The sequence below is a fragment of the Homo sapiens genome, chromosome 9 (genome assembly GCF_000001405.40).
Source record: "Homo sapiens chromosome 9, GRCh38.p14 Primary Assembly".
NCBI lineage: Eukaryota > Metazoa > Chordata > Mammalia > Primates > Hominidae > Homo > Homo sapiens.
Window position 1 is genome coordinate 132,523,526 of NC_000009.12, and position 14,434 is coordinate 132,537,959.

Below are 14,434 nucleotides of genomic sequence, written 5' to 3' on the forward strand. Positions count from 1 at the left end.
TTTGGCAGCTGCATAATATTTCATCATGAAGGCCGTCGCTTTTACAAATGTGACCAGCTCAGTGAACAACTGGGAGGCACAGGGGGGTCCGAGAACACCTGAGCCCTGACTGAGAGGCCTGTTCACACCTGCTCTAAGGGTTGACTTCTTTCCCGGTCCCTTAGGTGAAACCTCAGGCTTCCTCGGCTTTTCTGGTCACTTCTAATTACAAAAAGCAATCTCCATGCTCTAATTAATATGCCCAGGCTCGGGTATCATCAATACTCCCAATTTCATTGGAAGATGAATTTCTTTCCTCCCCTGGCTGGCTGCTTGGTGAGAAATGGCAGGGAGTGAGCTGCATCCATGTGTCTGGTTTCTGCCCCGCCACCCCCACTCCCAGGCTCCAGGATGAATGCAAGATATTACAAGGGGCCTTTGCTGTTAATGCATTAGCCTATTTGATTTGGTGCTATTATACATAGCATCCTTTTTTAAATTTTCTAATTTTTTTTAGAGACAAGGTCTTGCCATGCTGCCCAGGCTGGTCTTGAACTCCTGAGCTCAAGAGATCCACCCATCTTGGCCTCCCAAAGTGCTGGGATTGCAGGCATGAGCCACTGCGCCCAACCTATTTTACTTAGTATTCTTTGATTTGTGTTTATAAGTGAGACTGACCAGTAGTGTGTATATTCTCCTTGTCTCGGTTTGTGATCATAAAATGATTTGGGAAGCTGTTTTAGAAAAAGTTGTGGAAAGTTCTGGAATAGTTTCTATAGGACAATTGGGAGAGCTTGTGTGTAAAAGTACCCGGGGTCAGGCACTGTGGTTCATGCCTGCAATCCCAGCACTTTGGGAGGCCAAGGCGGGCGGATCACTTGAGGTCAGGAGTTTGGATCAGCCTGGCCAACATGGCGAAACCCTGTCTCTACTAAAAAAAAAATACATAAATACAAAAATTAGCCAGGCGTGGCAGCGTGAGCCTGTAATCTCAGCTACTCAGGAGGCTGAGGCAGGAGAATCACTTGAACCTGGGAGGCGGAGGTTTCAGTGAGCAGGAATTGTGCCACTGCACTTCATCCTGGCCAATAGAGCAAGGCTCTGTCTCAAAAAAAAAAAAATTAATTGACACGTGCCATATTTATTTATTTATTTATTTATTGAGGCAGAGTCTCGCTCTGTCGCCCAGGCTGGAGTGCAGTGGCGTGATCTCGGCTCACTGCAAGCTCCGCCTCCCGGGTTCACACCATTCTCCTGCGTCAGCCTCCCAAGTAGCTGGGACTACAGGCGCCCGCCACCACGCCCAGCTAATTTTTTGTATTTTTAGTAGAGACGGGGTTTCACAGTGTTAGCTACGATGGTCTCGATCTCCTGACCTCATGATCCTCCCGCCTTGGCCTTCCAAAGTGCTGGGATTACAGGCGTGAGCCACTGTACCCGGCCGACACACCCCATATTTATTTTTACCCTATATTTTTTGGCCCTATACTCTTCGATTACCTCTTTATGTGATAGTAATTTTTTTTTTTTTTTGAGATGGAGCCTCATTGTGACGCCCAGGTTGGAGTGCAATGGCACAATCTCAGCTCACTGCAACCTCCGCTTCCCGAGTTCAAGCGGTTCTCCTGCGTCAGCCTCCTGAGTAGCCGGGACTACAGGCATGCGCCACCACGCCTGGCTGATTTTTGTGTTTTTAGTAGAGACCGGGTTTCACCATATTGGCCAGACTTCTCTTGAACTCCTGACATCAAGTGATCCACCCGCGTTGGCCTCCTAAAGTGCTGGGATTACAGGTGTGAGCCACCACGCTCGGCCCCAGTATGATAGTAATTTTAAAATATTTTTCTATAAAAGTATAAAGCTATTTCAGTCTTTCCACTAGCATGCTTGATTGCATTTAAAAAAAATTTTACTTTGAGATGATTATAAATTCACAGAAAGTTTTAAAGAGAAAGTTTGTACAGAGAAAACCCACGTCCTCTTCACCCAGTTCCCCACAATGACAAAATTTCACATAACTAGATTGCAAAATGAAAACCAAAAACTTGACATTGGTACTATGCACAGATTCCATTCAGCTGCCAATTTTATATGCCCTCATCTGCATGTGGGCATGTGTGTATGTGTGTGTGTGTGTGATGTATTTAGTTCTTGCAGTTTTATCACATGTGTAGATTTGTGTGACACAATCAAGACACAAAACTGTTCTGTCATCCAAAGATCTTCCTCACACCCCCTATAGTGAACCCTGCTTCCCTCTATTTCCCAATGCCTGGAAAATTTCAAGAATGTTAAATATATGGAATCACACAGCGTGTAACCTTTTGAGGTTGGCCTTTTTTGCTCTGCATAAGGCCTAGAGTTCATCTGAGATGTTGCATGTAGGGAGAGTTCATTCTTTTTCGTTGCTGAGTGGTATTCCATGGTATGGATGGAATTGGATGTTCTTCTGATCTATAGCTTGTCTTTTCATCCTCTCCTTTTCATTCATTCATTGAAGGATGTTTTTGTTTTCCAGTTTTGCACTGTTACAGCTAAAGCCGCTATGTATTCTTCAATTACATCTTTAAATAAAAAAAAATTAAACAAATAATCAAGTAAAGCTGCTATGAACATTTGTGAATAAGTTTTTAGGTCAACCTAAGCTTTCATTTCTCTGGAATAAATGCCCAGGAGAGCAATTGCCGGGCCATCTGGTAAGTATGTGTTTAGTTTTTTTTTTGTTTTTTTATTTTTATTTTTTGAGATGGAGTCTCACTCTGTTGCCCAGGCTGGAGTGCAGTGGTGCGATCTCGGCTCACTGCAACCTCCGCCTCCCGGGTTCATGCCATTCTCCTGCCTCAGCCTCCTGAGTAGCTGGGACTACAGGTGCCCGCCACCACGCCTGGCTAATTTTTTTTTGTATTTTTAGTAGAGACGGGGTTTCACCGTGTTAGCCAGGATGGTCTCGATCTCCTGACTTCGTGATCCGTCCGCCTCGGCCTCCCAAAATGCTGGGATTACAGGCATGAGCCACAGCGCCCGACCGGCAGTTTCTTAAAAAAAAACTAAACACCAGGAGCTGGTTTTTTGAAAGGATCAACAAAATTGATAGACAGCTAGCAAGACTAATAAAGAAAAAAAGAGAGAAGAATCAAATAGACACAATAAAAAATGATAAAGGGGATATCACCACCGATCCCACAGAAATACAAACTACCATCAGAGAATACTACAAACACCTCTACGCAAATAAACTAGAAAATCTAGAAGAAATGGATACATTCCTCGACACATACACTCTCCCAAGACTAAACCAGGAAGAAGTTGAATCTCTGAATAGACCAATAACAGGCTCTGAAATTGTGGCAATAATCAATAGTTTACCAACCAAAAAGAGTCCAGGACCAGATGGATTCACAGCCGAATTCTACCAGAGGTACAAGGAGGAACTGGTACCATTCCTTCTGAAACTATTCCAATCAATAGAAAAAGAGGGAATCCTCCCTAACTCATTTTATGAGGCCAGCATCATTCTGATACCAAAGCCGGGCAGAGACACAACCAAAAAAGAGAATTTTAGACCAATATCCTTGATGAACATTGATGCAAAAATCCTCAATAAAATACTGGCAAACCGAATCCAGCAGCACATCAAAAAGCTTATCCACCATGATCAAGTGGGCTTCATCCCTGGGATGCAAGGCTGGTTCAATATACGCAAATCAATAAATGTAATCCAGCATATAAACAGAGCCAAAGACAAAAACCACATGATTATCTCAATAGATGCAGAAAAAGCCTTTGACAAAATTCAACAACCCTTCATGCTAAAAACTCTCAATAAATTAGGTATTGATGGGACGTATTTCAAAATAATAAGAGCTATCTATGACAAACCCACAGCCAATATCATACTGAATGGGCAAAAACTGGAAGCATTCCCTTTGAAAACTGGCACAAGACAGGGATGCCCTCTCTCACCGCTCCTATTCAACATAGTGTTGGAAGTTCTGGCCAGGGCAATCAGGCAGGAGAAGGAAATAAAGGGTATTCAATTAGGAAAAGAGGAAGTCAAATTGTCCCTGTTTGCAGACGACATGATTGTTTATCTAGAAAACCCCATCGTCTCAGCCCAAAATCTCCTTAAGCTGATAAGCAACTTCAGCAAAGTCTCAGGATACAAAATCAATGTACAAAAATCACAAGCATTCTTATACACCAACAACAGACAAACAGAGAGCCAAATCATGAGTGAACTCCCATTCACAATTGCTTCAAAGAGAATAAAATACCTAGGAATCCAACTTACAAGGGATGTGAAGGACCTCTTCAAGGAGAACTACAAACCACTGCTCAAGGAAATAAAAGAGGACACAAACAAATGGAAGAACATTCCATGCTCATGGGTAGGAAGAATCAATATCGTGAAAATGGCCATACTGCCCAAGGTAATTTACAGATTCAATGCCATCCCCATCAAGCTACCAATGACTTTCTTCACAGAATTGGAAAAAACTACTTTAAAGTTCATATGGAACCAAAAAAGAGCCCGCATCGCCAAGTCAATCCTAAGCCAAAAGAACAAAGCTGGAGGCATCACACTACCTGACTTCAAACTATACTACAAGGCTACAGTAACCAAAACAGCCTGGTACTGGTACCAAAACAGAGATATAGATCAATGGAACAGAACAGAGCCCTCAGAAATAATGCCGCATATCTACAACTATCTGATCTTTGACAAACCTGAGAAAAACAAGCAATGGGGAAAGGATTCCCTATTTAATAAACGGTGCTGGGAAAACTGGCTAGCCATATGTAGAAAGCTGAAACTGGATCCCTTCCTTACACCTTATACAAAAATCAATTCAAGATGGATTAAAGATTTAAATGTTAGACCTAAAACCATAAAAACCCTAGAAGAAAACCTAGGCATTACCATTCAGGACATAGGCGTGGGCAAGGTCTTCATGTCCAAAACACCAAAAGCATTGGCAACAAAAGCCAAAATTGACAAATGGGATCTAATTAAACTAAACAGCTTCTGCACAGCAAAAGAAACTACCATCAGAGTGAACAGGCAACCTACAACATGGGAGAAAATTTTCGCAACCTACTCATCTGACAAAGGGCTAATATCCAGAATCTACAATGAACTCAAACAAATTTACAAGAAAAAAACAAACAACCCCATCAAAAAGTGGGCGAAGGACATGAACAGACACTTCTCAAAAGAAGACATTTATGCAGCCAAAAAACACATGAAGAAATGCTCATCATCACTGGCCATCAGAGAAATGCAAATCAAAACCACGATGAGATATCATCTCACACCAGTTAGAATGGCAATCATTAAAAAGTCAGGAAACAACAGGTGCTGGAGAGGATGTGGAGAAATAGGAACACTTTTACACTGTTGGTGGGACTGTAAACTAGTTCAACCATTGTGGAAGTCAGTGTGGCGATTCCTCAGGGATCTAGAACTAGAAATACCATTTGACCCAGCCATCCCATTACTGGGTATATACCCAAAGGACTATAAATCATGCTGCTATAAAGACACATGCACACGTATGTTTATTGCGGCACTATTCACAATAGCAAAGACTTGGAACCAACCCAAATGTCCAACAATGATAGACTGGATTAAGAAAATGTGGCACATATACGCCATGGAATACTATGCAGCCATAAAAAATGATGAGTTCATGTCCTTTGTAGGGACATGGATGAAATTGGAAACCATCATTCTCAGTAAACTATTGCAAGAACAAAAAACCAAACACCGCATATTCTCACTCATAGGTGGGAATTGAACAATGAGATCACATGGACACAGGAAGGGGAATATCACACTCTGGGGACTGTCATGGGGTCGGGGGAGGGGGGAGGGATAGCATTGGGAGATATACCTAATGCTAAATGACACGTTAGTGGGTGCAGCGCACCAGCATGGCACATGTATACATATGTAACTAAACTGCACAATGTGCACATGTACCCTAAAACTTAGAGTATAATAAAAAAAAAAAACAAAAAAAAAACTAAACACATACTTGGCCGGGCACGGTGGCTCACGCCTGTAATCCCAGCATTTTGGGAGGCCGAGGCGGACGGATCACGAGGTCAGGAGATCGAGACCATCCTGGCTAACACGGTGAAACCCCGTCTCTACTAAAAATGCAAAATATTAGCTGGGCGTGGTGGCAGGCACCTGTAATCCCAGCTACTCGGGAGGCTGACACAGGAGAGTTGCTTGAACCCGGGAGGCAGAGGTTGCAGTGAGCCAAGGTCGCACCACTGCACTCCAGCCTGGCAACAGACCAAGACTCTGTCTCAAAAAAAAAAAAAGAAAAGAAAAGAAAAGAAAAAGAAACTGCCAAACAGTTTTCCGGAGTGGCTGTGCCATTTTCCATCCTCACCAGCAGTGCATGGGAGCTGTAGTTTCTGTGCATCCTCATTTGGTAGTGTCATTATGCCCTCTTATTTTAGCTGTACTAATGGGGGCATAGTGATATCATAGTCTTCATTTGCATTTCTCTAATGGCTACAGATGTTGACTATTCTTTCATGTGTTTGTTTGCCATCCATATATTCTCTTTGATGAAATATCTCTTCATGTCTTTTGCCTCTTTTCTTTCTTTCTTTTCTTTTTTTTTTTTTTTTTTTTTGGTTTTTGTAGAGAGGGTTTTGCCATCAAACTCTTGGGCTCAAGGAATCCTCCCACCTTGGACTCTCAACATGGGGGGATTACAGGCCTGAGCCACCGGGCTAGGCTTTGCCAATTTTCTTTTTTTTTTTTTGAGACGGAGTCTCTCTCTCTCTGTCACCCATCCTGGAGTGCAGTGGTGCAATCTCGGCTCACTGCAACTTCCACCTCCCAGGTTCAAGCGATTCTTGTGTCTCAGCCTCTTGATTAGCTGGGATTACAAGCACCCGCCACCATGCCCAGCTAATTTTGTATTTTTAGTAGAGACGAGGTTTCACCATGTTGGCCAGGCTGGTCTCGAACTCCTGACCTCAGGTGATCTGCCCCCCTCGGCCTCCCAAACTGCTGAGATTACAGGCGTGAGCCATCATGCCTGGCCATCAGTTTTCTAATGGGATTGTTTGGGGGTTTTTTGGTTTTGATTTGTTTTGTTTTACTGTTGAGTTTTGAGAGTTTTTTATTCTAGATACGAGTCCTTTGCCAGATACATGGTTTACAGATGTGTTCTCCCTGTCTATAGCTTGCCTCTCCATCCTCTGAACCGGATCTCCCACAGAGCAAACGTTTTTAATTCTGAGGAAGCCCAATTTATCAGTTTTTTTCTTTCATGGGTTATATTTTTGGTGTTGAGTCTAAGAAACTCTTTACGTAGCCTTAGATCCCAAACATTTTCTCCTATGTTTTCTTCTAGAAGTTGTATAGTTTAATGTTTTGTATTTAAATCTGTGAACCATTTGAGTTAATTCTTGTATCAGGTGTGAGACTTAGGTTGAGTTTGTTATGTTTGTTTGCTTTGTTGTTTATTTTGTCCAAGATATCCAAGGCTCCAGCACCATTTGTTGAAAAGACTATCCTTCCTCCATTGAATTGCAATCTCCCTCCATTTGCTTCTTTTGGTTTATTATAACTCACATATAGCCCAATTTACAATATCCTGAATTATGAAAAGTTTATCTCCTAAAATTCTGCCTAGCCTTTCTCTCTGTCTCCTTCCCCCCTTCCCTCCCGCCATGTGTCCTCTCTTTCTCTCTCAGTCTTTTTCAACAAGAAATAATTACTGAGAGCAGCACTGTGCCAGTTCACACCAGATATAAACCATACCCGCCCTCGTGATGTTGGTGGCCAATGGCCAAGACCTGCTGTAAATCAGCAAACAAACCAATGAATGAGCGCCCCCCGCGTGGGAGGGCGCCGGACCAGGGCTGTCCTAGGATGGTTGGGGAGGAGCCCTCTGGGGAGGTGGCCTCACTACTGGGACCCGAAGGCAAAGGGGAAGCTGAGTGTGTGCTGAGCGAGAGAAAGAGGATTCCAGGGCTTGGAAGACGAGGTGGGGGATGGCATGAATGTCAGGAAGGAGCTGGAGAAGGAGGCAGGAGCCGCTGGAAGGGACCTGCGGCCCGGGCAATGAGTCTGGGCTTAGGCTAAGACATGGGGGGGGGGGCATGGAAGGCATTTTAAGCAAGGGGTGATATGATCTGACTTATGTCCTAGGTTCTCCCCATGTCAAACCAGCTTCTCCACCTTTGTATCCAAGGTAATGCGCCCCAGCAGAAGGGGCACAGCCTGCCGGTCTCCTTCAGAGAACCCAGGCTGGGGCCGTTGGGACTCCCAGGGTTTGTCGGTTACTCTCATGCCCCAAGCCCCTTTCCCAGTAATAAGAGCTGCTGGCCGGAGCTAGACATGAGGATGTCAGCCGAGCCCGCAGGAGGGCTGAGGGTGCCTTTGTGGTGGCGATGGATGTACCGGGGACTGCTGAGAAGAGAGCTTTTCTGTTGTGAACGGTCTCTTGGGGTAGATATTTTCAGATTATGAATCTAGTGTCATTAGAAAACACAGCTATAAATTAGGCTGCTCAGAAGCATGGGGTGTGTAATAATTAAGTAATAAAAGTCACCGCAGGGGTAAAAGAACTGGAAAACAAAGAACCACCGTTTGTAGCAGCACCACAGGCTGCTGTGTGAAGGACCTCTGCGCAGGGGCGGCAGCTGGAAGCTGCTGAACCTTTGCTCAGACAGAATCCCAGCTCAGCCCCGGCCCAAAGAGAGCTGCGTGGAGGGGAGGCAGACTGGCCTCGGAGCACGGCCAGGACCCAGGGAGTGGATATTTAGGGTCTGGTTTAGCTCTGCAGCTGTCTCTGGGCCATAAGCTGAAACACGTGGAGGAGCCCGGCAGAGAGCGGAGCCAGCCTGATAGGGCGATAGGGCAGGGTGAGGCCTGGGGCGGAAGGGGAACTTTTACTCAGCGCCGGCCAATTGCTGCAGCCAGGAGTGCAGTCCAGCATGGGCAGAACTTACAAATGTCAACACACTCCAGGAAGTTGTTTTTTGAATGGAAAAAATTTTAAGTGTTGACAATGATTTCAAAGTTTAAGACCACCACGCAGGCCACATAAAACGCAGAGTGAGAGGCTCGAGGTCTGCCATCTCTGGTCCTGAGCTGTGTGACCCTGGGAGACGCTTCCCCTCTCAGCACCTCCATTTCCTCATTCTTTTTTCTGTGAAATTAAGTCACAGGGTAAGTTCTGAGGTTCTGACCCCTTCCTGGGGCATTTGCATCTTTGAAAAACACATAAACCAGGCGTGGTGGTTCACACCTGTGATCCCAACATTTTGGGAGGCAGAGGCAGGAGGATCACTTGAACTCAGGAGTTTGAGACCAGCCCGGGCAACATAGTGAGACCCATATCTCTACAAAAAATAAACAAAAAATTAGCCAGATATGGTGGCGCACGCCTGAGGTCCCAGCCACTTGGGAGGCCGAGAATATCAGATAAAAGCTGTGGATTCTCTCCCTAGATGAAAGTCTTTACATAGCTGCACAGAAATAATCGCCTGCACCTTCATGGGACTTTGGGAGGCTCAGAGCCTGGGGTTAGATCATCTCCAGGTCCTTAAGCCTTGAAGCATGAGGCCTGGATGCAGCGCCTCTAGGCGCCCTACGTGACTGAATCGGAGGTGCCCTGAACGAGATCCCACGGTGACCCAGGTGTATAGTTTGAGAAACGCTGCTCAAAGGGCCCTTCAGCTGCCGAAGACTCTTCATGTTCCGGTCACTGGCCGTGTTCTGGATACCGCTCATGGGAAAGGTGGTTCCCATCGATGTTTCCCAGTGTGTAGGCTGAGGAACCCCTGTGTACGAGTGTCCTGTGGCCAGTATCACAAATTACCATGAACTTGGTGGCTTACCCAACAGGAAATGATTCTCTCACAATTCTGGAGGCCAGAAGCATGAAACAGGAGTCAGCAGGCCCCGCTCCCTCCCAGGGCTCTAGCCGAGGACGCTTCCTGCCTCTTCCAGCTGCTGGCGGCTCCAGGCGTTTCTTGGTTTGGGGTTACAGGGTAGCTCACGTTATATTAGGTTGGTACAAAAGTAATTGCAGTTTTTTTCTATTGAAAGTAATTTGAGGCCAGGTGCAGTGGCTCACGCTTGTAATCCCAGCACTTTGGGAGGCCAAGGTGGGTGGATCACTTGAGGTCAACAGTTCAAGACCAGCCTGGCCAAATGGCCAAACCCCATCTCTTCTAAAAATGCAAAAATTAGCTGGGCATGGTGGTGGGCGCCTGGAGTCCCAGCTACTCGGGAGGTTGAGGAAGGAGAGTCACTCGAACCCAGGAGGTGGAGGTTGCAGTGAGCTGAGATCCCACCACTACACTCCAGCCTGGGCAACAGAGCGAGACTCTATCTCAAAAAGAAAAAAAAGGAAAAGAAAAAGAAGTAATTTGACAATGCTGGTCTAGAGGCTTGATTACATTCCAGTTTACGTTGGGTTTTTTCCCCGAACATGTTTGGTAGGCAGTCCAGCATCCCTCCTAGCATATCAGTTCTGGCACAGTATCTATTTGTCACTGTCAGTGATGTCAAGATTGATAACTGGGGTCAATTTTATGTTGTGTATATTTACCACAATAATAAAATGATGGTCATATAAAGGGCTGGTCATTTGGTTCAGCTGCTGCAGCATGACCCATCTGCTGGGAAGCTCCCCATCAGCCTCCACCTGATCATTTTAGCAGCCACAGATGAATGTTCCCTAGATCCATTATTTCATTAGGAGTCACAAAACACTGATTTTCCCACTAATTCTGTCATTCCTCCTGCATTTATGAGCTCTGGCTTTTCTATAAAGAACTTTTCCGGCCGGGCACGGTGGCTCATGCCTGTAATCCTAGCACTTTGGGAGGCTGAGGCGGGTGGATCACGAGGTCAGGAGATCAAGACCATCCTGGCTAACATGGTGAAACCCCACCTCTACTAAAAATATGAAAAATTAGCCAGGCGTGGTGGTGGGTGCCTGTAGTCCCAGCTACTCGGGAGGCTAAGGCAGGAGAATGGCGTGAACCCAGGAGGCGGAGCTTGCAGTGAGCTGAGATCTGCCACTGCACTCCAGCCTGAGCAACAGAGCGAGACTCTGTCTCAAAAAAAAAAAAAAAAAAAAAGAACTTTCCCTTATCGCCTATTTGATTACCCCAGGATGCAGTTTGTACTAGAAAGGCAGGGAAATGTTCTGTTATTTATTTTCAGAATAATGATTTTGTGGCCCAGCAACCTCCAAACTGCACAAGGAGGTTTTCCTTTTTTCCCACCAGAATTATGCATATATATCCATATGTCATATAGAGAGTGCTGTATGATGGATTTCAACTCACGGCCATTGTTATTCTGTCTAATGCTCAAATTGTCCTGTCTTTGGCAAATTTGGGCTGGCCCCTGTGGTCCATTACCATGTCTCCCAGTAGCCTCTGACAGCCTTCTTGCTTCTGGCATGGGGACCTCCTGGGCACAGAGATCAGCCATTTCTCCAGTGATCCCCGGTTCTTTTGAGCAGAGAATGGCACTTAGAGACCACAGTCTGGGCACTAGGGGTGCTCACTGCTACTGAGTTGTTGTCACTTCTAGACTTTTACAGTGGACAGAGATAGGGATAGGAAACATGTTACTTTTTATCAAGAGGAAAACTAATGAGTTGATAATGATATTTACAATTCAAATTTAAAATTACACAGGTTTTTTTCTACTTCTTTGATTTTATATAGGTATTTCTTTTCTCCTAATGACATTTATATAATTACTAATTTGCTTTATCCTGGAATGTATACATAATAGTTTCAAACTAACAATATCAACATTATTATTAGCAACAAGGACACAGCTTCAGATTTCCTCATGGTTCTTTTTATCCTCGGGATATCTTACGCTAGGGATATTCTGCCCAAATCTCTTTTAAAGTCACTTGAAGCTGGGCGAGGTGGCTCACGCCTGTAATCCCAACACTTTAGGAGGCCGAGGTGGGCAGATCACTTGAGGTCAGGAGTTTGAGACCAGCCTAGTCAACATAGCAAAACCCTGTCTCTACTAAAGATACAAAAAATTAGCTGGGTGTGGTGGCTGGTGCCTGTGATCCCAGCTGCTCAGGAGGCTGAGGTGGGAGAATCACTTGAACCTGGGAGGCAAGGTTGCAGTGAGCTGAGATTGCATCACTGCACTCCAGACTGGGTGGCAGCGTGAGACTCCACCTCAATAAATAAATAAATAAATAAATAAATAAATAAATAAAGTCACTTGAAATCATCTGTGGTTATGCCACAACTTGACATACAATTAGGTTCATTTGCTTTCTCCTGTTGTTATTTGGGGTAGATGCTAATCCTTTCTCTTTAATTTTTTCATAATTAGCAAAAAAACCATTTTTTATGTTTCCAAAGTCAAAACTATAACACAAAGTCTATTCAAAAAGTTCTAGCTTTCCTTTCTGTCATTTCCTTCCTGTTCTCTCCCTCATTCTACAGGTAGCTTCTTAGTTAATAAGTTTGGTTTATCTTTTCATTTTCTTCCTCATGAAAATAGAAATATATGTATATGCATCATATATATATGATATACATCATAAATTCTAGATATCTATCTTATATATATGGGGGCATCCTATGGGACTGGTTAGGGGTGCTTATTTAGTTTTCTCTGGTTGGTTCTAAGCTCCAAGTGGGTACAAAACTTAGGGGAGCTGGGAGTTATTAACCAAGTCCTGGACATTCTGGGTTGGCTGTTTCAAGGTTATTCTTTGGCTTCCTGGCCTGTTGGTAGAGACCACAGTCTGACTTCCTACAAGTCTGGCATAGCAGGTGGCTTCCTGGGCTGGTTACTGTACAAAATGGGCTGGTTTCCTGGCCTAGCTGCTGCAGATTGTGGCTCATAGTTCTTTTTTTTTTTTTTTTTTTGGAGACAGAGTCTTGCTATGTTGCCCAGGCTGGAGTGCAGTGACGTGATCTTGGCTCACTGCAACATTCATCTCCCAGGTTCAAGCAATTCTCCTGTCTCAGCCTCCCTACTAGTTGGGATTACAGGCACACGCCACCACACCCAGCTAATGTTTGTATTTTTAGTAGAGACAGGGCTTCACCATGTTGGCCAGGCTGGTGGCAAACTCCTGACCTCAGGTGATCCACCTGCCTCGGCCTCCCAAAGTGCTGGGATTACAGGTGTGAGCCACTGCACCCAGCCCATAGTTCTACTTTTATATGTGGTTTGGCCATTGTCCATTTGGATATTCCGTCTCTCAACCTGTTTAGAGATTAGGTCCCACCTGGGAGCAGTTGGCCATTCGCTGCTACAGAGGCTTGTGGCTGAGCGGGTCTGCCTTGCGGTGCTTCCCGTGCTGCTCTGGGATTTTACCCTTCTCATCTGTAAGATGGGAATAATACTAGTATCCATTTTCCTGTTGGGAAGGGGTGGAGCATACAAAATGCCTAGGGTAAGTGCTCCTTGGCTGGAAATCGTTGTCAAAGGGAACCAGAGCCAGACACTGATTAAAGGTGGTAAAGACATTTTATTCAATACTATTGCAAAAGGGGAGAGGCTTCAGTATAGAACTGAGTTCAGTTCCAGATACAACAGAAGTGGGGATGTTTAGCTGAGGAGCCAAGGGAGGGGCGGGGTCAGTGGATGGAAAATTACTAAGAGGAGACATCAAGGCAGGAAGATCCTTGCTAAAGGCAGGCCAAGGTCATCAGATATCAGGGGTGCAGGTGAGGAACTTAATCAGCTGTCAAGGGTAATCAGATGTGAAGGGGTGGGGAATCAACGTAGCGGGACTCTTGGCTACAACTGGCTTCAGCAGGCCAAGGAAGGGCCCAGGGATGAGTCCTAGTGAGAAAGAGCTCAGAGGACCAGACCTCTAACGTCTGGTCAAGGAGGGAGTCCTACCACCGTCCCAGGCCCACCACTCATCAGCCTATGTGAGGGACCTGTTTCGTGGCTTTTGAGCGCTGGGAGAGAGGCTTTCACAGAGGTGGGAGTGATGTACCCCACAGCCCCTGACGTTTAGGAGGCTCCCGGGGGCGGGCGGTGGGGAGCGGGTGCCTCTGGTCTTTCCGGGGCCTCAAGCTCTGTCTGGACTTCTTCCCTCCAGGCCTTCCACACCCTTCTTTGATCTGCTGCAGCACCGGTACCTGCAGCTGTGGGTACAGGAACAAAAGGCCACCCAGAAAGCCATCAAACTGGAGAAGAAGCAGAAGGTAAATGCAGCCCTCGCTCCCAAGTTGACAGCTGATGGGGTGGAGAAGAGAGAAGGGCTGGCCAGGGCCAAGCATCGAGATGACACTTGTGTATGTTTGTCATTGGGGATGAGTGGGAAATCAGGTTGCATCTTCTGCCCAGCATCAGAGAATCTACAGCTGAAAGCATCTTGGTGATTATCCAGTTCCTACCCTACCTAAGCTCAGAGCGTAGAGGAGATGGGTCCGGGCCATCAGTCAATAGGCCCTGTGT

The 14,434-nt window shown here is 45.5% G+C and overlaps 1 protein-coding gene and 1 long non-coding RNA gene across 4 annotated transcripts in view, besides 1 other annotated feature; one reads left to right on the forward strand and one right to left on the reverse strand.

Annotated features, from left to right (window-relative positions):
- CFAP77 (cilia and flagella associated protein 77) overlaps positions 1-14,434 on the forward strand; it is a 163,109-nt gene that overhangs the window by 113,315 nt on the left and 35,360 nt on the right. For all 3 annotated transcript variants that reach the window (NM_207417.3, NM_001282957.2, XM_011518670.3), the window contains one exon: positions 14,076-14,181. In NM_207417.3, coding sequence (NP_997300.1) covers positions 14,076-14,181 — 106 coding nt within the window. The remainder of the gene's footprint in view (positions 1-14,075; positions 14,182-14,434) is intronic.
- On the reverse strand, positions 1,871-8,992 carry LOC124902293 (uncharacterized). The gene is made up of 2 exons (XR_007061829.1): positions 8,192-8,992; positions 1,871-2,543 (listed from the first exon to the last, which is right to left on the reverse strand). It is a non-coding gene; the product is annotated as an uncharacterized LOC124902293 (long non-coding RNA).
- Positions 7,794-8,066: a silencer, noted in NCBI's record as "fragment chr9:135406706-135406978 (GRCh37/hg19 assembly coordinates)". NCBI's record gives its function as "represses an EF-1alpha promoter that drives an FKBP-Casp9 reporter gene in an ReSE screen in HepG2 liver carcinoma cells {active_cell/tissue: HepG2}" and the evidence as "EXISTENCE:reporter gene assay evidence [ECO:0000049][PMID:32094911]".